The sequence below is a fragment of the Homo sapiens genome, chromosome 1 (assembly GCF_000001405.40).
Source record: "Homo sapiens chromosome 1, GRCh38.p14 Primary Assembly".
Lineage (NCBI taxonomy): Eukaryota > Metazoa > Chordata > Mammalia > Primates > Hominidae > Homo > Homo sapiens.
In genome coordinates this window covers 46,651,935-46,673,687 of record NC_000001.11, presented here as the reverse complement: position 1 = coordinate 46,673,687, position 21,753 = coordinate 46,651,935, and the positions used below count along the sequence as shown (strand labels likewise).

Sequence of the window (21,753 nt, the reverse complement as noted above, 5' to 3'; positions counted from 1 at the left end):
ACTCAGCAACCAACTTGGTTTGCAAAGTGACCCCATCAGACAGGAAGGACATTGCCTTCCTAACAGCAAATGAGAAACGAGGGAGCCTTGGACTTTTTTTTTTTTCTTTTAATGTTTCATAGCATGACATCCAGGTGGGTCCTGACCTCTGTCAATACCACCTTCCTGAGGTTAGTTCCATTTCCTACTCTGCACCTGATTCCTGCAGCTCCCACCTTCAGTGAGAGGAGGCTACAGTTCTGAAGGAAAAGGCTTGGCATTGAAGCTATGGTCTTCCTGGGCCAGATTCAGGAGGGAATGGAAGAGAACATTCCTTTCAGGACAGGTGGCCAAAGGATAGGAGACAGAGTGGTTCAGCAGGGGGGGTAGGTTGCACAAGGGTGGGGCAAAGGGCACCTCCTGAAAGATGGGAAGTGGGAATGGGGATCTGGCCTGGGGCTGCTGTGGAGCCAGCTGCAGTGCAGGTTGCAGGGGAGCAGGGGCTTCCGCCTTGGGGTTGCTGTCTTGGTCAGCATGGCTCCTGCCTTCGGGGATGTCCAAATCCCACAGAACATCTGGATTCTGGACCTCAGTCTCAGTCTTGGTGACAGCAGGGGCAGGGCCCGTGTTGATGGCTGCATTCATGCCGTAGCGCCGTCGCTTGTTAATCCAGTACAACAATGGGCTGTAGGTGAATGTGGCAGCTCTCATCACCTCCACCCACTGCTGGGCATGCTCTTCCCGCCTCAAGTTCTTCCTCCAGTGCAGAAAGATAATGCACCCTCCAGTTATCACAGAACACAGCCCCAGGATTCCAAAGTACAATGAGACCCACACTAAGGCAGCAAGAAAGAAAAAGAGGCATGCTGGCTGATAGCTGTAGCTTGGGGCCTGAGCTGTTTCTCATTCCTCTTTCACTTAACCCATGCATCAATCGCTCCATCCACTTAACTACTCTCACCGTTCCTTCCCTCCCTTATTGACTTGCCTCATCATTCCCTTATTCAGTCAAAGCTAGATTTCCAGGGAGCTTAAGCACCACCTTTAACTCTTTACAGATCACAAAAGCTAGGTCTAGCGGGGGCATGTGCTGCCCAGGCTCAGTCAAGCCTCTGATTCCTAACCCAGGACCCATCCAATCCATCAGACTGAGAAGTTTCACTATGGGCAAGTCCATCAAGAAGCAAAAGTTCACCAGCACTTTGTGAGGCCCAGGTGGGCAGATCACTTGAGGTCAGGACTTCAAGTCCAGCCTGGCCAACATGGTGAAACCCCGTCTCTACTAAAAATTTTAAAATTAGCCAGGTGTGGTGGTGCATGCCTGCAGTCCCAGCTACTTCAGAGGCTGAGGCAGGAGAATCACTTGAATCCAGGAGGTGGAGGTTACAGTGAGCCTAGATTGAGCCACTGCACTCCAGCCGGGGCAACAGAGCAAAACTTCATCTCAAAAAAAAAAAAAAAAGTGAAAGTTCATCAGTTGACAGAGACACCAATGTCCCATCCCATTCCATTCAGCTGTGATAGTCCTGGGCTATTGATAGTATCTTCTCTGGTTGATCAGAGCATGGTCTTTGCCTTAAAATAATTCTTAGTTTTCTAGAGTAGACTATCTCCTAACTGCTTAGCTCTCCTCCAGGCAGCCAGGCACTGTCCCATCCATGCAAAGGGCCTTCCCTGAGTGTTTGTCCCCAAGCCCTAAGGCACAAGTCCAGTGACAGGGACTGGAGGAGCACTTACTCCCAGGGAAGCGCAGGTCCTCCTGTTGGGAATCCATACAGCTGAGCTTTGGTACCTGGCCGATGGCTCTGGGGAGAGGGAACTCACCCACCCATCTGCCCAGCCAGTCAGCCCATCTGCCCAGCCAATCAGAGTCTCCAGAATGCCCAGGCCCTTTGTTCTCTAAAGGAGAGGTCACTGGGTTCTGAGAATTGGGCATTCTAGGGGCAGTGCTTGTGAAGTGGTCCTGGGTTAATGGAAGGAGGGGACTTCATCCAGTGGCATTTTTTGGGTGGAATGTCACTACTACTTCCATCAGAGACTGGTTCACCTATTGAATTGTCTGTACCTACCCCTTATGGTGAACCCACAGAGCAGACCCCAGAAAAGGGCCATTGTCCCTCAGGTACTTACGGATGTTGCTGGTCTTTAGGGAACGGTTGATGGGATACCTGTCCCCAGTGAGGAATGTAACAAGGAACACACAGCATTGGGCAGCCCTGTTCTCAAAAAGTATCTAACCAAGTTGGCAGGAAGAAACCTGCTCAAGGGAACCAAGTGGTCAATACCTCCTTCTTTGGCTCCAACAATCTGTCTTTTATTTAATTACCTTCCTTCAAGTGCTGACAAGTGTTTCCCAGGCCCCAGGCCCTGTGGGGCTTCCCACCATCTGGCCTGCATCTACTTCCAGCCTTACTTCCCTCCTCGTCCTCCACACACTTTTCCCTTTTGCCTAGTCCGTACTCCTGAACAGACCCTGCTCATTCACATCTCTGGAGGTGTGCCCATGCTGCTCCTTCACCCAGGAGTGCCCCTGCCCACTTTTCCACCACTGAACACCTGCTCATCCTTCAAGACTCAGCTCAGCCCCCCTACTCTGTGACAGACTGCCCAGAATCATATCATCGCCAATTTGAAGAAACTTTGAGAGTTGTCTAGTTCATCTCCACCATCTGATCCCACCATCAGGGCCATGCTTGACTCCTGGGGGTAGATTTTTCCCCACACAGCAACTAATCTCCCTGGACTCAAGACTCACTTGAGTCAGGAACTTGCTCACCACCTCCTGAGGCAGCTTGATGCATTTATGGGCAGCTCAGTTAGAAAGCCCTTCCCTAATTAAGCTTAAGTCAGCCTTCCCAGTATGTTGCACCACTGCTTGTAGCTCAGCTTCTTAGCACCATTTTAATGACTCCCCTCTTTATAGTCCTCCAATGTGTGACTTAGGGAACTATTTAGCACAGAATTCTCTCCAGGGTCCACTTACCCTTGTTCTCCTCGTATATCACTGGCCCCTACTTTCCAGTCTCCTTTGCTGGTTTCTCCCTTTTCCCCTGATCTCTAAATGTAGGCATGTCTAGGGCTCAGTTCTTAGTGCTCTATCTACATTCATTCCATCAGTTATCTCACCCAGACCCCTGGCTTTAAATATCACTATACACTGACAGTACGCAACTGTATCTCTCCAGCCTGGAATGCTCCTCAGAACTTTAGACTCATACCCAAATACCTGGTTGACATCCCTCCTTGCCAGTCTGTTAAATTATCCCAAACCAACATGTCCAAAACCAAACTCTGATTATCCATCCTCCAAAGTCTACCCTACCTACAGCCTTCCTCCTCTTCATAAGTAGTATCTCTGTCCTTCGGGTTGTTCAGGCCAAAAACCTGCAAGTCATCCTTGACTCCTTTCATTCTATCACACCCACACTGACTCCATCAGCAAGATCTTTAGGCTTTTATTTCAAAATATAACCAAAATCTGGCCACTTTTTTTTATCACTATCACTTTAGTCCAAGTACCACCATCTCTCACTTGGATTACTGTTCCCTGTAGGGTGACCAACATCCTGGTTTGCCCAGGACTTGGGGTGGGTTCTCAGGACATGGGGCTTTCAATGCTAGAGCCAAGAAAGTCCTAGGCAAACTGGAATAAATTAGTCACCCTTGGGAGAGTTTCCATCCTTGCCTCCACATATCCTAAATCCCACCAGCAGCCAGCATGATCCTTTTAAAAAGTAGATCATGTTACTCCACTGCTTAAAACATATAGTAACTTCCGATCTCATTCGATTTAAAATCAAAGTCCTTAACCAAGGCCTAAGCAATCTAACTAGCCCTCCCTATACCTTCTTGGTCTCATTTCTGCTGCTGTGCCCTCACTCATTCAGACTCAATAACCTCCTCATCAGGGCCTTTGCACTTGCTGTTTCCCCTACCTGGAAGGCTCTTCCCCCAGCATTCCCACATTACCTTCAGGTCTCTGCTCAAGTGTCCCCTTATCTCTATCTCTCTTGGCCTGCTGTTTTTCTGCATACCATGTAGCATCACCTAACATTATATATTTACTGTCTGTTTCACTCCACTAGAATGTAAGCTCAATGAATTAATATAAACAAGGATCTAAGAACTTCAGATAATGATAACTGCTATAAAGAGAATGCAATAGAGTGATGGGATAAAGACTATAAAGAGATGGAGGGGTTGTCATTTAGGTCCCTTGGAGGTGCTTACATGTGAACTGAGCCCTTAGATGATGAGGAGGCAGCCACATGCAGATCCACAGAGAAAACAGCAAGTGTTAGGAGTGTGAGCCAGGTATGGGCTGGCATACTTGAAGGACTTATTCATCTTCCATTACACTGTTCCTCGCACAGGGCAGGGCTCAGGGCTGATCTCCATGAGCATAGGTTGGATTGAGCAGAGTTGAAGGCTCTGCCCCTGTCCCAGGAGGGGCTTCAATCAGACAAAACCCAGACAAGAAGGACCTGATGATGAGTACTGTCCCAGAGAGCCCACTCCAGGACTGGCCCTGTTCTGTGAGCAGGTGGGACACAGAGATGTTAATGTCACTGTCCCTGACCCTAGGAGCTCACACCTGGTTCAGACGGTAAGGAAGATTGTGGCATTTGGGTTGAGAGAATGGAAGGAGAGAGGATTCCAGGGGTCAAAAAGGGCCTGAATAAGGACTCTTCAAGGAGTAATCCTGGTGTTTCTTTGGGAGAGAATAGGTCACTGTGGCTGGAGTTCAAGGAGGATGTCAGGAAGCAGAGGAAAAGGAGGCTTGGGAGGCAGCTGCCATCTTGAAAAGAGCTCAGCTGTCGGGTAGAACTTGAACAAGTCACATAATTACTCTCGGCCTCAGTTTCCTTATTTGTTAGATGAGGATAATACTGCCACACAGAGTATGAAGCCGCTCAGTGTCCTGCACATAGCAACCTCAGTAAAGAGAAGCTTGCTGCTGTGATTATAGTTGATGAAAAGACCTTCGATGCTGAAGGACGGACTACTACATCGAGTGCCTGGCACTACAGCGAGTGCCAGGGGCAAGCACCGCGAGGACATGGAGATCCGCTGGCTTTAGAGAACGGACTTGGCGCGCAGAGGCTGCTGGTCCCAGAGGGAGGAAGGGCGTTGAATTTGGGCAGCCTCCCTGGAGGAGGCGGGCCGTGGCATACACAGGGCGGCGAGAGCGCGCAGTGCCGGGGCCAGAGCGGCGCGCCCCCTCCTCCCCGCCCCGCCTCGCCGCTATCCCGCGCCCGGAACCTTGGGCGCGCGGAACCTCGGTGCCGGAGCGCGGGCGCGGCGCACTCGGAGCGGGATGGAGCGGGCGCGCGGGCCGCGGGCCGAGGCCGACGCGCCTGAGGAGGAGGAGGAGGCGGGGGCGGCCATGGCTGCTGTGGTGGTGGCGGCTGCGGGTGGCGCGGGACCGGCGGTCCTGCAGGTGGCCGGTCTCTACCGGGGCCTGTGCGCGGTGCGCAGCCGCGCCCTGGGCCTGGGGCTCGTGTCACCCGCGCAGCTGCGCGTCTTCCCAGTGCGCCCCGGCTCGGGCCGGCCCGAGGGGGGCGCCGACAGCAGCGGGGTCGGGGCCGAGGCCGAGCTCCAGGCCAACCCTTTCTACGACCGCTACCGCGACAAGATCCAGCTGCTGCGCAGGTGCGGGCCTGGGTTGGCTGGAGGCGGGCAGGAGGCGGGAGGAGGGGCGGCCCGGGCTGCTGGGCCTTAGGACAGCCCTGTGAGGTGGGCACTAGTACTGTCCCAGCTCTTCAGATGATGTAGCCAGGCTCCGCGAGGCTAGGTCACTTGCCCAAGATCACACAGCTAATTGGTGTCAGAGCTGGGAGTCTCTGCAAAGCCCTGGCTCGTTCCACGTTTGTCTGCTTTGGTTCTCCAAACGCTAAGGTGGACTCTTATGACAGCCCTGAGGCAGGCAGCTCAGAGACACCTGTCCTCATTATAGAAATGGGAAAACGCCTTCTAGAGAAGGGACTTGACTTGCTCAAGGTCACATATTAAGATAGCTGAGGCCTGGCTCAGAGCTGGAGTTCCCAGGCTGGTGGTAGCTTAGGGCCTTGACTGCAAGGAAAGGCGACTGGGGATGGGAGGAGGGCATCAAAGACTAATAGTGTCACAGTCGGATCACCCATTGAACCCTCTTAAGGAGACTGAGGATCAGCGAGAGTAAGAGACTTGCCAAAGGTCACACAGCTGTTTGGGATTTGTCTGACTCTGAGTCCAGGGTCCCTAACACCACCTCTTAGCTTCCAGAGGGAAGGATCTGGAGCTTAGAGGGGCTTAAGGTGCATATGAGGGGCTATAGGAGCATCTGAAGAGTTCAAGTGGGAAGAGCTAAAGGAGATCAGAGGTGAAAATTAAAGGGGCTTGGGAGAGAATTTAGCAGGGTAAGAAGGTAGTTGTCTTATGAAAGGAAACCAAAGACTTAGTACTGTAAATTTGAGTTCTGTCTCATCTCTACTTCCACTGCCTTAATCTACTCCATCATCGTCACCTGGGCTGTTGCCATTATCCTCTAACTAGAGTTCCCTACTTCCATTCCTGGACTACTTTACCCCAGTTCCTCTCACTGCTACTGTAGTGATCTTTCTTGCCATTTGAAACAGTTATGCAGTAAATGAATGAGTATTTTTGCTCTCCTTCCAGCAGCATTGAGATAGTCTCAAGTATTTGTCATCTTAAAAGCCTTTCTTTGATGTACATTCCCCTCCAGGCTTCTCTCGTTGATCTGTATTTGATCTGTTTTACACACAAGCATCTCTGAAGAGTTGTCTACTTGTACTTTGAATACTTTATCAGCATCCATTTATTCTTACCCACTCATGAACAAATAAATAACTGGTTTTACCGTCCTTCCCCACTGGATCATTCCCATCAACATTTACACATACTGTTATCCCCCCACTGACCTCTAAATAACATCCAAACTCCTTAATGTTTCACACAAGTTCCTCATACCCTAGTCCCTGCCAGTCTCTCTCTAGTTTTATCTGTTAGCAAACTTCCTTTGAAAAAGAATGGAGAGGAGGGGATGTTCCAGGTAAGGGGAGCAGCAACATAAACAAAGGTACAGAGGCATGAAACCACCTTAACCATTTGGGGATGTTTGAGCAAATTTTCATCATAATACCTGTTGTACTTTCATTTGTTTACTTTTATGCCTGTCTCTCCCACTGGATAGTGAGCTCCTTGAGGTAGGGAGTCTGACTTATTTATTTCTATATCCTCAGATCCCAGCAACAGCTTCACTGCCCAGGCTGTCCCTTGCCCTCTCTACCCCTTCACTATGGCAGGCCCAGTTGCAGCTGTAGCCACTAGCAGGGTTGACCCTGGTCCTGGTACAGCCCCCAGGGCTGCTTGCAGCTCTGGCCAGGCAGGTGCCATGCCCGACTAAGCAGAAACCCCTGGTGAGGCTCTTTATTGAGGAGGAGCCGGCCCACTACAGAGAGAAGAAAAACATCCCATCTACATGACAGTGAAGGGAGTGGTGTTTTATGTCACCTCCAGAAAGGAATTTTATGGAAGAAGGGGCCCCCTATAATGCATTGACCAGGAAAGTCCACCAGAGGGATAGCCAAGATGTCCCTGGGTCCTCCAGACCTCACCCATGAAACTCTGGGTCTCATGGCCAAAGAGCTGGAATCCCTGGATGATATCTTCACCAAAGTGTACAAAACCAAATATCCCATGGTTAGCTACACAGTCTGAAGAATTCTTAATAGGGACAGCACCCCAGCCTGGACTTCAAACCTGAAGACCAACCCCATTTTGACATAAACAATGTGTTCTGTTGTTTCATCTCCAAGAGCAGCTTCTTTGGAGGGTAGGTTAGGGAGATACTCAGATGCTAAATCTTCTGCAAAATAGGCTACCTAAAGCCTCTGAATCACCAGGATCTGAATAAAGCAGATGTTTAACCTGGTTGGGGGGACATATTTTCAAGAACTGGATGTATTCAAGTAAAAGCTTGACACCTAGTAAGGAGGCTATAGGATTCTTGTCTGAAGAGGTGATCCAGCAAGATGACCTCAAAATTCTAAGTACCCTGAATGTAAGTACCTGAGAGACTAAGCCCTGTGTAAACCTAGGGAACAGCCTGCAAAAGAAAAATGTTACACAGGCCCCTTGAGGATTAACAACAGTTGAATAACAGGATTTCTTTTTCCAGTTTCTTTATTTCTAGGCCTGTGCCCAGTTCTTACTAACTGAAGGCAAATTTTTCAACCTCTCTGAATGGCAGTGTCCTTTCTCTGTAGAGGTGGAAAGTGATGCTTTGTTATTTTAGAATTCAAAAAGGCCCAGTTGGTTTACCCTTTGGTTTACCTCTGATCAGGTCAGACCCAGCTGCTTTTGAGTCCCGCCTGGAGAAACGCAGTGAATTTCGGAAGCAGCCAGTGGGGCATTCCAGGCAAGGTGATTTTATCAAATGTGTGGAACAGAAGGTAAGACCTTCCCCCATTTGTGGTGTTTGCTTACCAGCACTCCTTCACCCTCCTTACCCTCACCCTTATCCTTAAAGTTGGTTTATTGATGGGTCAGCTGGGTGAACTGAACATAGTCTCTCCCAACTCCATTTCCATCCATAAATGTTTATCCTGCTCTTTCTAGGCAAAGTACTGTGGTCATGGTGGAGATATAGAAGTATGAGAGGGGTACTTCCTGCTCCCAAGAGGAGCAGTCTGGTGGTCAAGGCAAGGCACACATGGTAGTAGGCTAGAGGTATCAGAGAAAATTTCCCATGGGAGATGGAACCTGACCTAGGCTAGGAACGTTGTGGGGGATTTAAATTAAGTAGAGAGGAAGGAATGGGACTTTGATGTAGAGCAGGGGTCATCAAATTTTTTCTGTAAAGAACTAGATGTTAAATATTTTAGGCATTGTGGGCCGTATGGTCTTCTTTGTGACTACTCAGCTCTGCCATCATAGTGCAAAAGCAGGCCTAGACCGTACGTAAATGAATAGGTATGGTTCTGTCCCAGTAAAACTTAATCTACAAAAATATTTGGCAGACTAGATTTAGTTTCCTGACAACCAGCCAACCCTGCCAACCCACCCCCATCCATTCCCATGTTGAGGAATTAGCTTAAACAGAGGAAGAGCTTTGAAAGTAAAAGGGGTTTCAGGAGACAGCAAGGTACTATGCCCAGTTAAAATGGAGAGGGAAGTGTTAAGGCTAAAGAAATAAGTTAGGCATTAAACTCTTTGGGCTTAAGGAGTACAGGCAGGATAATTTAGCTGCTAAGAGGATGGGCTCTGGGGCCAGATGCCAAGGACTGAATCCTAACCCTTCCACTTACTAGCTGGGTGACTCTGAGCAAATTGTTACTTCTCCATGCCTCAGTTTGCTTATCTGTAAAACAGGAATAATAACAGTACCTACTTCACAGAGTTGTGCTGAAGAGATAATACCATTTAAAACTCTTTAGCGCCGTCTCTGGCATAAGTACTTAATATATATTAGCCATTATTATCCTTAAATAGGAATCAAAGCTGAGGAAAAGCATGTTGAAAACTGTGTCTGGGAAGATTATTCTAATGCAGTGTTTTTCAAACTTTTTGACCATGACCACAATAAGAAATATATTTTACATTGCAATTCAGTACACATGTAGGTATATGATTGTAACTGAAAAAAAAATGTATAAAATAATGCTAACTTTTACAACATGCAGTCCATTCTTATTACTTTTTATTCTCTTTCATCTTTTAAAAAACTCTGATCACAATCCACTAAATGTATTTCACAACCTATTATTTGAAAAATTCTAACCTAGGATGGTGCACAGAACAAACTGGTGTAGGAGAGGCCAGCGCCAGGGAGAATATGGAGTAATCCAGGTGTGGGCTGCAGAAGCCTGAATTAAGGTAGTTACAGTAGAAAATTGGGATTCTACATTGTGTTTTAAAGTCAAATTAGAGGTGTTTATTTTACTTGGAAAATACTTTTTTTGCCTTGGGTATCCTGAATTTTAAGTGAATCTGCTGAGTCTTAATGACTACTACTCATCTGACAAAGGGCTAATATCCAGAATCTACAGTGAACTCAAACAAATTTACAAGAAAAAAAAAACCCCATCAAAAAGTGGACAAAGGATACGAACAGACACTTCTCAAAAGAAGACATTTATGCAGCCAAAAGACACATGAAAAAATGCTCATCATCACTGGCCATTGGAGAAATGCAAATCAAAACCACAATGAGATACCATCTCACACCAGTTAGAATGGCAATCATTAAAAAGTCAGGAAACAACAGGTGCTGGAGAGGATGTGGAGAAATAGGAACACTTTTACACTGTTGGTGGGACTGTAAACTAGTTCAAACATTGTGGAAGTCAGTGTGGCGATTCCTTAGGGATCTAGAACTAGAAATACCATTTGACCCAGCCATCCCATTACTGGGTATATACCCAAAGGATTACAAATCATGCTGCTATAAAGACACATGCACATGTATGTTTATTGCGGCACTATTCACAATAGCAAAGACTTGGAACCAACCCAAATGTCCAACAATGATAGACTGAATCAAGAAAATGTGGCACATATACACCATGGAATACTATGCAGCCATAAAAAATGATGAGTTCATGTCCTTTGTAGGGACATGGATGAAGCTGGAAACCATCGTTCTCAGCAAACTATCGCAAGGACAAAAAACCAAACACTGCATGTTCTCACTCATGGGTGGGAATCGAACAATGAGAACACATGGACACAGGAAGGGGAACATCACACACTGGGGCCTGTTGTGGGGTCGGGGGAGTGGGGAGGGATAGCATTAGGAGATATACCTAATGTTAAATGACGAGTTAATGGGTGCAGCACACCAACATGGTACATGTATAGATATGTAACAAACCTGCACGTTGTGTACATGTACCCTAAAACTTAAAGTATAATAAAAATAGAAAAAAATAAAATAAAATGACTAATTGAGTTAATTAGAACAGGATTAATAGTAAATGGGTTGCCAGGCGCAGTGGCTCACGCCTATAATCCCAGCACTTTGGGAGGTTGAGGTGGGCAGATCACTTAAGGTCAGGAGTTTGAGACCAGCCTGGCCAACAGGGTGAAACCCTGTATCTACTAAAAATACAAAACTTAGCTGGGTGTGGTAGCAGGCGCCTGTAATCCCAGCTACTTGGGAGGCTGAGGCAGGAGAATCGCTTGAACCTGGGAGGCGGAGGTTACAGTGAGCTGAGGTCATGGCACTGCATTCCAGCCTGGGCAAAAAAAAAAAAAATAACAGATGGGTTAATTATAATAAGGTTGGGGAGCAAATTCAACTCCTATGACAAATAGAGTTTACAACTTTATGTGAGCAAACAATTCTTTACTACAAATATTTTAACAATTGTCATTTCCTATAATAAACACTTATAGTAGTAAGGTTACAAGTCAATAGCTCTTGGAAATATTACTATATTATAAACTTTAAATATTAGATAGGAATGTTCTTTGCCCCTTTTTGGTAAACAGACTTAGAAATTTGGCTTTATGAGGCCGGGCGTGGTGGCTCACGCCTGTAATGCCAGCACTTTGGGAGGCCAAGGCGGGCAGATCACGAGGTCAGGAGATTGAGACCATCCTGGCTAACACGGTGAAACCCCTTCTCTACTAAAAATACAAAAAATTAGCCGGGCGTTGTGGCAGGCGCCTGTAGTCCCAGCTACTCGGGAGGCTGAGGCAGGAGAATGGCGTGGAGCCAGGAGGCGGAGCCTGCAGTGAGCGGAGATCACACCACTGCACTCCAGCCTGGACGACAGAGTGAGACTCCATCTTAAAAAAAAAAAAAAAGAAAGAAATTTAGCTTTATGATAAAATGTAGAATATGTAAAGATTTAATTTAAATTGTGGCAGCTCTTAGGTAAATATTCACTTGCTATCTTCTGTATCTAGCTAGATAGAGGAAGGCTAACGGCTAACACATATTTTCCATTCCCACAGTCTTGTCTTTACTACTTTGAGTTATTGGTTCCCCACCACATGGGACTCAACATCCCCCTTTTATAATACATTTTTTAAAAATTCTCCCTTTTCTACCCTGAAATAAAACAATAGGTATGTAAAAATATAACCTACCTGTATGTATAACCTCAGGTGGGAAAATCAATATAATGCCCTAACCATAATATAAAGAAAAGTATTTTTTAACAAAATACATATTTTAGCATGTAAATATTAGGGCACGACTACACTGTGAGACCTAATGTAGTCATGAGGTGCTTCCACCCATTTCTGAAATAACCTTGAACATGTAAGCAGCAAATACTGACTGGCAAATGGGTGTTATGTTGATAATTATAAAAACTCTAAAACCACCGGGTGCAGTGGCTCACACATGTAATCCTAGTACTTTGGGAGGCCAAGGTGGCAGATCACTTGAGGTCAGGAGTTCGAGACCAGCCTGGGCAACACGGTGAAACCCCGTCTCTACTAAAATGCAAAAGAAAAATTAGCCAGGCATGGTGGCGCATGCCTGTAATCCCAGCTACTCAGGAGGCTGAGGCAGGAGAATTGCTTGAACCCGGGAGGCGGAGGTTGCAGTGAGCGGAGATTGTGCCACTGCACTCCAGCGTGGGCGACAGAGTGAGACTCTGTCTCCAAAAAAAAAAAAACCTCCAAAACCATGAGCAGTGTTGTTATCAGTGACCTATGATTCCACAATGTGGAATCTTTCAAGTTATATAGTAGTTGCATTTCTGGAAATTTTAGTATTAAAGCAGTGTTTAAAAAAAAAAGGTTCTAGGCCCAAGTAATTATAAATATTGAAATATTATAGGTATTTTCAGCTGCAAGAATGTCTAGCTAGACATTGAAAAGTTGTACAGGATGAGGGAAATTTTTTTTATTATGTAGAACTCACCCATTTGACACCCCTCCCATAATGTAGATATCAATATCCAATAAACTATTATGATAACCATAAAATTATCTGCACAGATTTCCAAAGCATCCATAGTAGGGAAGTAAAATACCCATTTAAAGTTCTTATTAAATGCTTCTGATTTTTGACATGTAGTTTCAACTGCTTTAATTACCTTATTTCATCAAATCTAAAGCTCACTCTTATTTTTCTCATTTTAACATCACTAAAATTGTCTTATAATTGATATGACAGGAAAATATTGTGCTATTTAATTGGCATCATTTTCTGATGCATAAAATAATGGTGCATCTTAAGATATGATGTCTTAGATTTGATAAAATGCAATACGCTTATACTTAGGGCTTAAATTTTTTATTTCTATAAGTGAAAATGGATACAAATAATAGATTGGAGAGACATTGTGTAAAAACCGATACATGAGGCTTCATGACTGAAAGGTGAAAGCAGCTGTGCAAGTGGAGGTTTTGTTTTGTTTTTGTTTCGTTTTCATGGTACACCTGAGAATGAGTGGTATGAAAATGAAATTCTCATCAGGCACAGTGGCTCATGCCTGTAATCCCAACACTTTGGGAGGCCGAAGCGGGCAGATCACTTGAGGCCAGAAGTCAAGACCAGCCTGGCCAACATGGTGAAACCCCATCTCTACTAAAAATACAAAAAATTAGCCAGGCATGGTGGCACAAGCCTGTAGACCCAGCTACTCGGGAGACTGAGGTGGGAGAATCACTTGAACCTGGGAGGCAGAGGTTGCAGTGAGCCGACATTGTGCCACTGCACTCCAGCCTAGGCAACAGAGCTAGACCCTGTCTCAAAAAAAAAAAAAAAGAAAGAAAGAAAATGAAATTAACTCCTTTTTAGATGGTTTACATATGAAGGAACGGCTACACTGGGATGTTGTCAGTGTATAGGTGCGTGACCAAAAAGACTAAAGGGTGTTCAACAGGCTTTTCTCTAATTTGTGGGTACAGGTTCTATGACCATCATTTATGAAAAGTGTGGATTAATTAAAGCACAAAGTGACTAAAGGCAAGGTTTTATGCAGAAAGTGTTTTTCAGCCTCAGAATCCCAGGTGTCGAATGTACTTCTGAGAAGCACAGCCTTGAGTGGAAGACTCAGAACAACCCATCCCTACTACCAGAAACTACTCAAAACAGGATTTACTAGCTATGACCTTTATGAGAGATAATGGCTACGAGACAAAATAATCACTTTCAGTTGTTGGTGGCCTTTTTTTAAGGGTGTCTAATTTGATAGAGGAAACATTAAGATTGAACACTCAAAATGACTCTAGTCTGCTGAGGATGCCTACCATCAAAGTGTTGTCAGAGATAAGCAGTATCCTTGGATAACACATCTTTCCATTTCTTACCTCTCCCATGGCTCAGTGTGGAATAGGTCAGGACAGAGCACAGTAATCCCAAGCAGGCCTAATTCTGGGAAGAAATCCCTCATATCCACAGTGGCAGGTGGAGAATGGACTCTCAGTACTAGTAGATGATAGTTTACTGAGAGAGAAATCTTATCTCTGAATCTCAGAATCTTAGAAGAAAGTTGTTTTCTTATAAACAATAATTTTTATTTTTATTTCTTTTTATTTATTTATTTTATTTTATGAGACAGAGTCTCACTCTGTTGCCCGGGCTAGAGTGCAGTGGCGTGATCTCGGCTCACTGCATCCTCCGCCTCCTGGGTTCAAGCGGTTCTCCTGCCTCAGCCTCCCAAGTATCTGGGATCACAGGCACCCGCCACTATGCCCAGCTAATTTTTTGTATTTTTAGTAGAGACGGGGTTTCACCATGTTGGCCAGGCTGGTCTCGAACTCCTGACCTTATGATTCTCTCGCCTCGGCTTCCCAAAGTGCTGGGATTACAGGTGTGAGCCACTGCGCCCAGCCAACAATAATTTTTAAAATAGTGTTAAAATTTTAGAACAATTATTATAAAAAGTGGAGAGAAGTGAGTTCTCACATGCAAAATTATTTAATGAGATTGGGTACTTCACCTAGCTTAGTTACCTTTTTTCTTATGAGTAAAGTGTAGATTAATATCTTGTCTTATATATTTCAGACAGATGCCTTGGGGAAACAGTCTGTGAACAGAGGATTCACTAAGGACAAGGTAGGTTTCTAATTAAATATAGGAAAAAAAGCTTGAAGTCATATGGGACATCTAGAACAAGAGGCTGCAAATTTGAACATAAGTACTGTGGCTCAGTGATTTTGTGTAAGGTGATTTTCCAGCTGTAGAAGTGAGAAATATTTCTATGAACTTTGTGTCCTTGACCATGACCCCTAGCATAGCAGTTTAATTAAAAATAACAACCAAACTTTCTCCTCTTACCAGCTGCAAAGTGCCGCAGGACTCATTGGTAAGGGTGAAGCCTTTGGGAAGTACATGGCAACCTAAGAGAGACTCCTCAGGAACAGAACTATGAAAACCTGTCTAGGCTTGGGGGCTCACTTTCTCTGAGCATGTGGGTTTTCTTATACTTGTTTTCTACTTTTGGAAATCTGTTTCATTGTCCTGACATGTTTGCCACAGGCTTAGAGATAGAGTTAAGCTGTTTTTTTTTTTTTTTAATTATGTGTTAATTGCTTTTTATTGTCTCTTTCAAGACTCTCAGTTCAATCTTTAACATTGAGATGGTAAAAGAAAAAACTGCAGAAGAAATAAAACAGGTAATGAATGGAAATGGGCTGGCCTACTCTATGAAAATGTGAATTCTGTGAACCAAATCTGAAAGTACATTTTCTGACACCTCTTTCTAGCCACAATGAAAGGTAATAATAAAAGGCAAAAGTGATGAATTACTTGAAGAACAATGTCATAAGAAAACTTGTCTTCTTTGTCACTCTTATATGTCTAATCAACTTGTATGTCTAGTTTCTTTTTCATTCCCATAATCCACATCTCGTGTAACCCTCATCAGTACTCTGTACCTGGATTACTGCACTACCTTTCCAAATAGGTTTCCCTTCTCCTTTTTTTTCCACTCCACCCATAATATTCTCATCAACTGAGTCCTCTGAAACTTCTCCTTTCATTATGGAGAAGTATAGTGTATTGGTTTAAAAACACAGACTCTAGAACCAAGCTGCCGGTTTTAAGTCCTAGCTCTGCCACTATCTATAGGACTTGGACAAGTTAATCAACTTGTCTGGGCTTTAGTTTCCCTATTTAAAGTGGAGCAAATAATAGCACTTACCTCATAGAGTTATTTGGATAATTAAATGAGTTAACATTTATTATCACTTAGAACAGTCCCTGGCATAGAGTAAGTGCTATATTTATGTTTTTTAAAAAATGGGAAAAAAATGTATTAGGAACCTGGTCACAAATGTTCAGTGACTTCCTGTATTCCTTTTCTGGGCATTCATAGCTCTCCATTATCACAGGACCTTCTTCAGGAAGCTTCCTGAACACTTTCCTTCAAAGCACTCATGAGCTATCCTGCCTGTTTGGTCATTTATATTTTTATACCTGTGATTCTTTTCTCTCTAATAAGCTATTTTTCTGGCATTCTTTATAGTTCCATGAATTATACATTAGGTAGATTGAGAGGATCAAAATAATAATAAAAGCAGCATACTCTGTATCAGGTACAATGCCTAATGCTTCATATGCATTATTTCATTAAATTCTCTTAACCACCCCGTGAAGTGGGTGCCATTATTCCCAGTTTACAGTTGAGGAAACTGTGACTTAAAGAGATTATGTAACTTAGTCAGTGGTAGAGCTGGGACTCAAACCCATGTCTATTTGACTCTGCATCATATTCCCACAACTGGAAGTTGTGCCAGTTGCCATGGGTTTCCTTTGTATGCTGTATCATTTATTTTAGCACACATTTAATGCATACCAATTAAATGTCAGACTCTGTGCCAGATACAGAGATAAATGAGAGAATCCTCATCCCCAAGGAGTTTTAGCCTCCGCAAAACGGATCAGATCAGCACAGGGTTCTTTCTATTAATAGAGGCATATGCAAAGTGTCAGGGAGAACTCTGGCTGTGCCTTTGGGAAGAAGTACCAAAGGAACATGGACACAAAACATGTCATTTAGGGGAAAAAGAAGCCAGGCCCAGGAGGCCTGATCATATGACAAGTATCATTGAGACCTATAGTTTTAGGTATAAATTTGTGTTTGTTGAAATGAGTAGCTAAATTCAACTATATAAGGAAACATATATCAGTCTCATGAATTTCAGTTTTGATTCATAAACTGTCTGCTAATATCATAAATTAAATAAAAATAATCAGAATATGCTGTCCTTAAAATGAGAAGACAATGTTTTGACATGCAAAAAAAGAAAAGGTAAAGCAACCTTATGCCACATTGAGAGTAGTTTCCATAGGTCCTAGGAGTTAATAGTCCTTTTGTGCTCTGTGTTGATTAGATGGATCACACTTTGATTAGTATCTTCAATTGGGGCCCCATATTTTAACAGAAATGTTGACAAAACAGACCAACTCTAAAGGAAGTTGACCCATTCTTCAACACTAGCTCACTCTGGTGTCACCTTGGTTATGATACCCTCCTCTACTTCTATGCCTTTGTTAGTGTTGTCATTCTCTGCTTCAAATGTGTCTCTTATCTCCTTCTCCTGCCCTACCTGTTATCTTCCCAGCCTCCTTATTTCCCTACTCTAACTCCTAATCATTCTTCAGGATACAGTTCCAAGTGTCCCTTCCTCTGGCACTCTTCCCTACCCTGGGTTAAGTGCCTCTTTTAGATTACATGTTTCTTATTATTTCACAATCATCTATCATTCAACCAGCATTTCTGAGTACTTTTTGGGTTGCAAGGCATTGGTGACAACACAGCAGATACCTGCCTACAGGGGGCTTGCAAACTAGTGAGGGAAATAGATCCATATGCAAATGATCTTATTATGAAGTAGCATATCCTAGGCATCTTAAGAGAGATATAAAATATGAAAGCAAGGGGGAGGAAATAAATAAAATAGAAAAGCAGCTCATAGGAAAACTTCTGACTGTAATATCAAGGGAAACTGCATGGAAGAAGAAGCATATAGGCTCAGCTTCAGAGTACAGGAAGAATTTGGGAGGTCAGAGGTAGGAGAGAGAGGCTTTCTAGTCAGAGCCAATAACATGTAAAAAGGCATGGGAAGGCAAAAAAAAGGTAGTAAAAAATAAGAACACAGAGCATCCATATGATATTAATGGTAAATAATGAAAAGACACAATATTGCATATATGCTACATCTATGTATACTATAAAAGACATGCTAGAAAGAAATAAAGTAACAGTGGTCTTTGTTAGGGTGGTAGGACTATGGGCATTTTTTCCTTTTCCCTGTTTTCTAATTTTCAAATTTTATTATATAATTTTTTTATTCCCCACCTTTTGGTATTTGCATCATGAAGGTCAACTGTAGCTTCCTTGTTCGTTAGTGTCAAGCAGAGGTAGGACTTCTGATTGGTATATACCATAGTCAGATCCAACAGACCTTATCTCTTCCACATGTAGAAGACTTTCTGGAAGCAGGATTTTAAGAGCTGCCTATAACATGCCAATAATATCTAATATGGTTTTGCTGTGTCCCCACCCAAATCTCATCTTGAATTGTAGTTCCCATAATCCCCACACATCATGGGAGGGACACAATGGGAGGTAATTGAATCATAGGGGCAGTTACCTCCATGCTGTTCCCATGATAATGAGTTCTCACGAGATCTGATGGTTTTATAGGGGGCTTTTCCCCCTTTTGCTCATTCTTCTTCCTGTCACCATGTGAAGAAGGATGTGTTTGCTTCCCCTTCCACCATGATTGTAAGATTCTTAACGCCTTCCCAGCCCTGTGGAACTGTGAGTCACTTAAACCTCTTTCCATTATAAATTACCCAGTCTCTGGATTAAGAAAATATGGCACATTTACACCATGGAATACTATGCAGCCATAAAAAAGCATGAGTTCATGTCCTTTGCAGGGACATGGATGAAGCTGGAAACCATCATTCTCAGCAAACTATCACAAGGACAGAAAACCAAACACCGCATGTTCTCACTCATAAGTGAGAGTTGAACAATGAGAACACATGGACACAGAGTGGGGAACACCACACACTGGGGCCTGTCAGGGGGTGGAGGGCTGGGGGAGGGATATCATTAGGAGAAATACTTAAAGTAAATGACAAGTTGATGGGTGCAGCAAACCAACATGGCACACGTATACCTATGTAACCTGCATGTTGTACACATGTACCCTAGAACTTAAAGTACAATAATAATAATAATAATAATAATAATAATAAATAAATAAATAAATTGCCCAGTCTCAGGTATATCTTTATTAGCAGTGTGAGAATGGACTAATACAATATCTAACAAAAGCTAACATTATTTGTAGTGTTTATTCTGTGACAAGTGCTGAGCTAAGCACAGACCTACATTATTTCAGCTAGTCATGACAATTCTGTGAGGTTATTATTGCTATTTTATTGATGTTTTTTAGGGAGTTTTCAGTAATTTGCCCAAGGTAGTATAGCTAGTAAATGACTGGAGCTGAGATTCGCATCCAGGTCTGCCTGACTGTGAACCCTGAGCTCTAGTCCTGACTCTCTGGGAAGGCTCAGTTGGCTGGGGAGGTGTGGGTTTGGGGAGGAAATAAAAATGTGAAAAAAAAGAAGTTGTCTATCACACACAAGGCACATATTAAGAGGAATGACTTTTAAAGTCAGAGAATCAGTTTCTCTGTCAGGAATTTGTTATTAAGAGTTACAGTTTAATCATCTAGAAGAGTGGATTGTATTAAATCTTTTTTGTGATGTGCTAGTAATGAAAGCGTTATACTGGGTTTTTCCTCTCTGTTATCAAATAGCATATTCCTCTGAGCAATGAAAACTGTCACCATTTCTTGGCACATGTTGAAAAGATTACCCACATGTCACAGACACCCCTCTCTTTTTTGTACAGATTTGGCAGCAATATTTTGCAGCAAAAGATACAGTCTACGCAGTTATTCCTGTAAGTAGTTTGGAGGGCAAAGTGAAAGTGTTACAACATGAAAGTCAGTTCTCTAACCTTAGCAGGCAGTTGCCTTTACTTTTCCTATGTTTATTGCCTCTTGAGAAGCTGCATTTTACAGCCCTGAGAGTTTTTATTATGCCCTGAGCACCAGAGATTGGAAGCTCCATATGGTATATTTATGGCTCTTGTTTTCCTCCTTTCTACTTTAGAAATGTCTCTGAGTCAAGTCTCTGACAAGGGAGCGTGGTATAAGTTCATGTTGCTGAGTAATTTCCAGATGTCTTTTTTTTCTTACTGATGTTTTCCAACCAAGCTGTTGGAATTTAAGACAGGGCCTCTAGCACAGCTTTTTTCCCTTCTTGCCTGTAAGTGACCTATACCTGAGCTGACTTGGAGCCTCTTCCTAGTCTATCTCTGGTGAATATTCCCCTTAGCAAGTGGCATTTTCTTGGTCTTTCCCTTCTTGAAATTATTCTTAGAGATGGTCACCATCTACTGCTTGACCATTAAGGTCTGTGACAGAGAAGGGATGCTGCTGGCTTCTCTGGTTTAATGTTTTGCTGGCCTTCACTATAATAAAGCATCTGAAGTACTGGATTATCAGCTAGTTCTTTGTTTTTCCCTGAAGGAGGGGTGGGAGCTTAGGTTAAGTTTCTATCAAGCACACAAATATATATTGAGATTACATGAGTAAGTGTAAGATTAAGGAGGAAAACATATAGATGGAAGGATAAAGCCAGGCCTTTTGGTGGTTATGATGGTATCGCTATCTTTTTTTTTAATCTCTCATATATATATACCCTTATCCTACATGAATTCAACAGCCAGAAGAAGAGTCTGCGCTTTTTGTGATGTTTTAGATCTCTGATACTGACTCATTGTTTAAACAGGCCTTCTTACCTCTCCCTCAAACTGACTTGGTGACTTGATGTCTCTGACAATTGTTAAAGTTCCCTGGAGCATTGGTGCACCTAGTCTTTACACATAATTCTGACAATAAACAGCAAAACAGACATCTGGTTTTTCCTGTCTTTCTGTCATAAGAGTGATTTGAAAATGATGAAACTTAAATGACTGTTTTAGTTGTATTATAATTCTAGAATTCAGTCTTGGTGAATTACATGTGATAGTGGCCTTTTGTGTTTTACTATGTGTAGGTTAACTTTATTCTTTTCCAACCTACAGGCAGAAAAGTTTGATTTGATCTGGAACCGGGCTCAGTCCTGTCCAACAGTAAGTTTCTGGTGATCACGTAAGGGTTGCTTATCAATGTTGCCAAACAAGTATTTTCCAGCCCATCACGTCATATTCCATACTGTCTCACATGTTATAGTGCTCTGTTTACTTAATAAAGATGCTCACATGTTGATTGTACTAATAAGTTATAGTGCTCTGTTTACTTAATAAAGATGCTCACACGTTGATTGTACTAATAAGTGACATTTTCAGCCTTATGAAATCATGTGGGTTTGACCCAGTAAGCCTCTGGCTTTTTAGCTCCCTACCACATCAGCCCTTTCTGATGTAGATCTTAATCTATCGGTACAAGTGCGTTTTGGAAGACATCTGAGACCTTAATCTTTTCAACTTCTTTTTTTTTTTTTTTTTGCTTTTATTATTATTTTTAATTGACACATAATTATACATATTTATGGGGTACAGTGTGATAGTTCAATACATGTGTGCAGTGTGTAATGATCAAATCAGAATAATTAGCACATCTATCACCTCAAACATTTATCATTTCATTGTATTGGTAACATTCAGAATCCATTCTTCTAGCTACTTGAAAATATACAATAATTGCCATTCTAACTGGTGTGAGATGGTATCTCATTGTGGTTTTGATTTGCATTTCTCTGATGGCCAGTGATGGTGA

The 21,753-nt window shown here is 43.3% G+C and overlaps 2 protein-coding genes and 1 pseudogene across 9 annotated transcripts in view, besides 6 other annotated features; 2 read left to right on the top strand and 1 right to left on the bottom strand.

Annotated features, from left to right (window-relative positions):
* Positions 1-93: 93 nt before the first annotated feature.
* Positions 94-4,802, bottom strand: TEX38 (testis expressed 38). 4 transcript variants are annotated; one of them, XM_011541421.4, is made up of 2 exons: positions 4,210-4,802; positions 94-815 (listed from the first exon to the last, which is right to left on the bottom strand). In XM_011541421.4, the coding sequence occupies exons 1-2, from the start codon at positions 4,247-4,249 to the stop codon at positions 232-234; spliced, it is 624 nt and encodes a 207-aa protein (XP_011539723.1). In that variant the 5' UTR covers positions 4,250-4,802; the 3' UTR covers positions 94-231. The 4 variants fall into 4 exon arrangements, with proteins under 4 accessions (XP_011539723.1, NP_001138946.1, NP_001287792.1 ...); NM_001145474.4 differs by lacking the exon at positions 4,210-4,802 and adding an exon at positions 1,717-1,834; NM_001300863.2 differs by lacking the exon at positions 4,210-4,802 and adding an exon at positions 1,717-1,834 and having other exon boundaries at positions 94-736.
* Positions 4,875-5,024: an enhancer, noted in NCBI's record as "active region_1007". NCBI's record gives its function as "activates an Ori minimal core promoter by ATAC-STARR-seq in GM12878 lymphoblastoid cells {active_cell/tissue: GM12878}" and the evidence as "EXISTENCE:reporter gene assay evidence [ECO:0000049][PMID:35858748]".
* Positions 5,131-21,753, top strand: part of ATPAF1 (ATP synthase mitochondrial F1 complex assembly factor 1) — a 35,821-nt gene continuing 19,198 nt past the window's right edge. Inside the window, exons 1-7 of one of the 5 annotated variants that reach the window (NM_001256418.1) lie at positions 7,810-8,041; positions 8,324-8,432; positions 9,765-9,855; positions 14,951-15,001; positions 15,499-15,561; positions 19,821-19,871; positions 21,060-21,107. In NM_001256418.1, the coding sequence (NP_001243347.1) occupies positions 15,526-15,561; positions 19,821-19,871; positions 21,060-21,107 (135 nt within the window). In that variant the 5' untranslated portion in view covers positions 7,810-8,041; positions 8,324-8,432; positions 9,765-9,855; positions 14,951-15,001; positions 15,499-15,525. Of the gene's footprint in view, positions 5,632-7,809; positions 8,042-8,323; positions 8,433-9,764; positions 9,856-14,950; positions 15,002-15,498; positions 15,562-19,820; positions 19,872-21,059; positions 21,108-21,753 lie in introns of those variants that run through there. The other 4 variants (NM_022745.6, NM_001042546.2, NM_001394565.1 and 1 more) reach the window with 4 other exon arrangements.
* Positions 5,135-5,754: a silencer, noted in NCBI's record as "silent region_850". NCBI's record gives its function as "represses an Ori minimal core promoter by ATAC-STARR-seq in GM12878 lymphoblastoid cells {active_cell/tissue: GM12878}" and the evidence as "EXISTENCE:reporter gene assay evidence [ECO:0000049][PMID:35858748]".
* Positions 5,537-5,707: a silencer, noted in NCBI's record as "fragment chr1:47133653-47133823 (GRCh37/hg19 assembly coordinates)". NCBI's record gives its function as "represses an EF-1alpha promoter that drives an FKBP-Casp9 reporter gene in an ReSE screen in K562 erythroleukemia cells {active_cell/tissue: K562}" and the evidence as "EXISTENCE:reporter gene assay evidence [ECO:0000049][PMID:32094911]".
* Positions 6,820-7,348: an enhancer, noted in NCBI's record as "H3K4me1 hESC enhancer chr1:47132012-47132540 (GRCh37/hg19 assembly coordinates)". NCBI's record gives its function as "activates a minimal SCP1, AML or CMV promoter by ChIP-STARR-seq in naive H9 embryonic stem cells {active_cell/tissue: H9 hESC(naive)}" and the evidence as "EXISTENCE:reporter gene assay evidence [ECO:0000049][PMID:30033119]".
* NENFP1 (neudesin neurotrophic factor pseudogene 1) lies at positions 7,313-7,778 on the top strand (annotated as a pseudogene).
* Positions 7,349-7,878: an enhancer, noted in NCBI's record as "H3K4me1 hESC enhancer chr1:47131482-47132011 (GRCh37/hg19 assembly coordinates)". NCBI's record gives its function as "activates a minimal SCP1, AML or CMV promoter by ChIP-STARR-seq in naive H9 embryonic stem cells {active_cell/tissue: H9 hESC(naive)}" and the evidence as "EXISTENCE:reporter gene assay evidence [ECO:0000049][PMID:30033119]".
* Positions 13,234-13,293: an enhancer, noted in NCBI's record as "active region_1006". NCBI's record gives its function as "activates an Ori minimal core promoter by ATAC-STARR-seq in GM12878 lymphoblastoid cells {active_cell/tissue: GM12878}" and the evidence as "EXISTENCE:reporter gene assay evidence [ECO:0000049][PMID:35858748]".

Bases quoted from the DNA above. Each gene is read 5' to 3' on its own strand.
- TEX38 (XM_011541421.4), bottom strand. From the start codon at position 4,249: ATGTGGCTGCCTCCTCATCATCTAAGGGCTCAGTTCACAT. The intron at 816-4,209 runs GTAAGCACCTCC...TTGCTGCCTTAG, and splicing joins TCTAAGGGCTCAGTTCACAT to TGTGGGTCTCATTGTACTTT.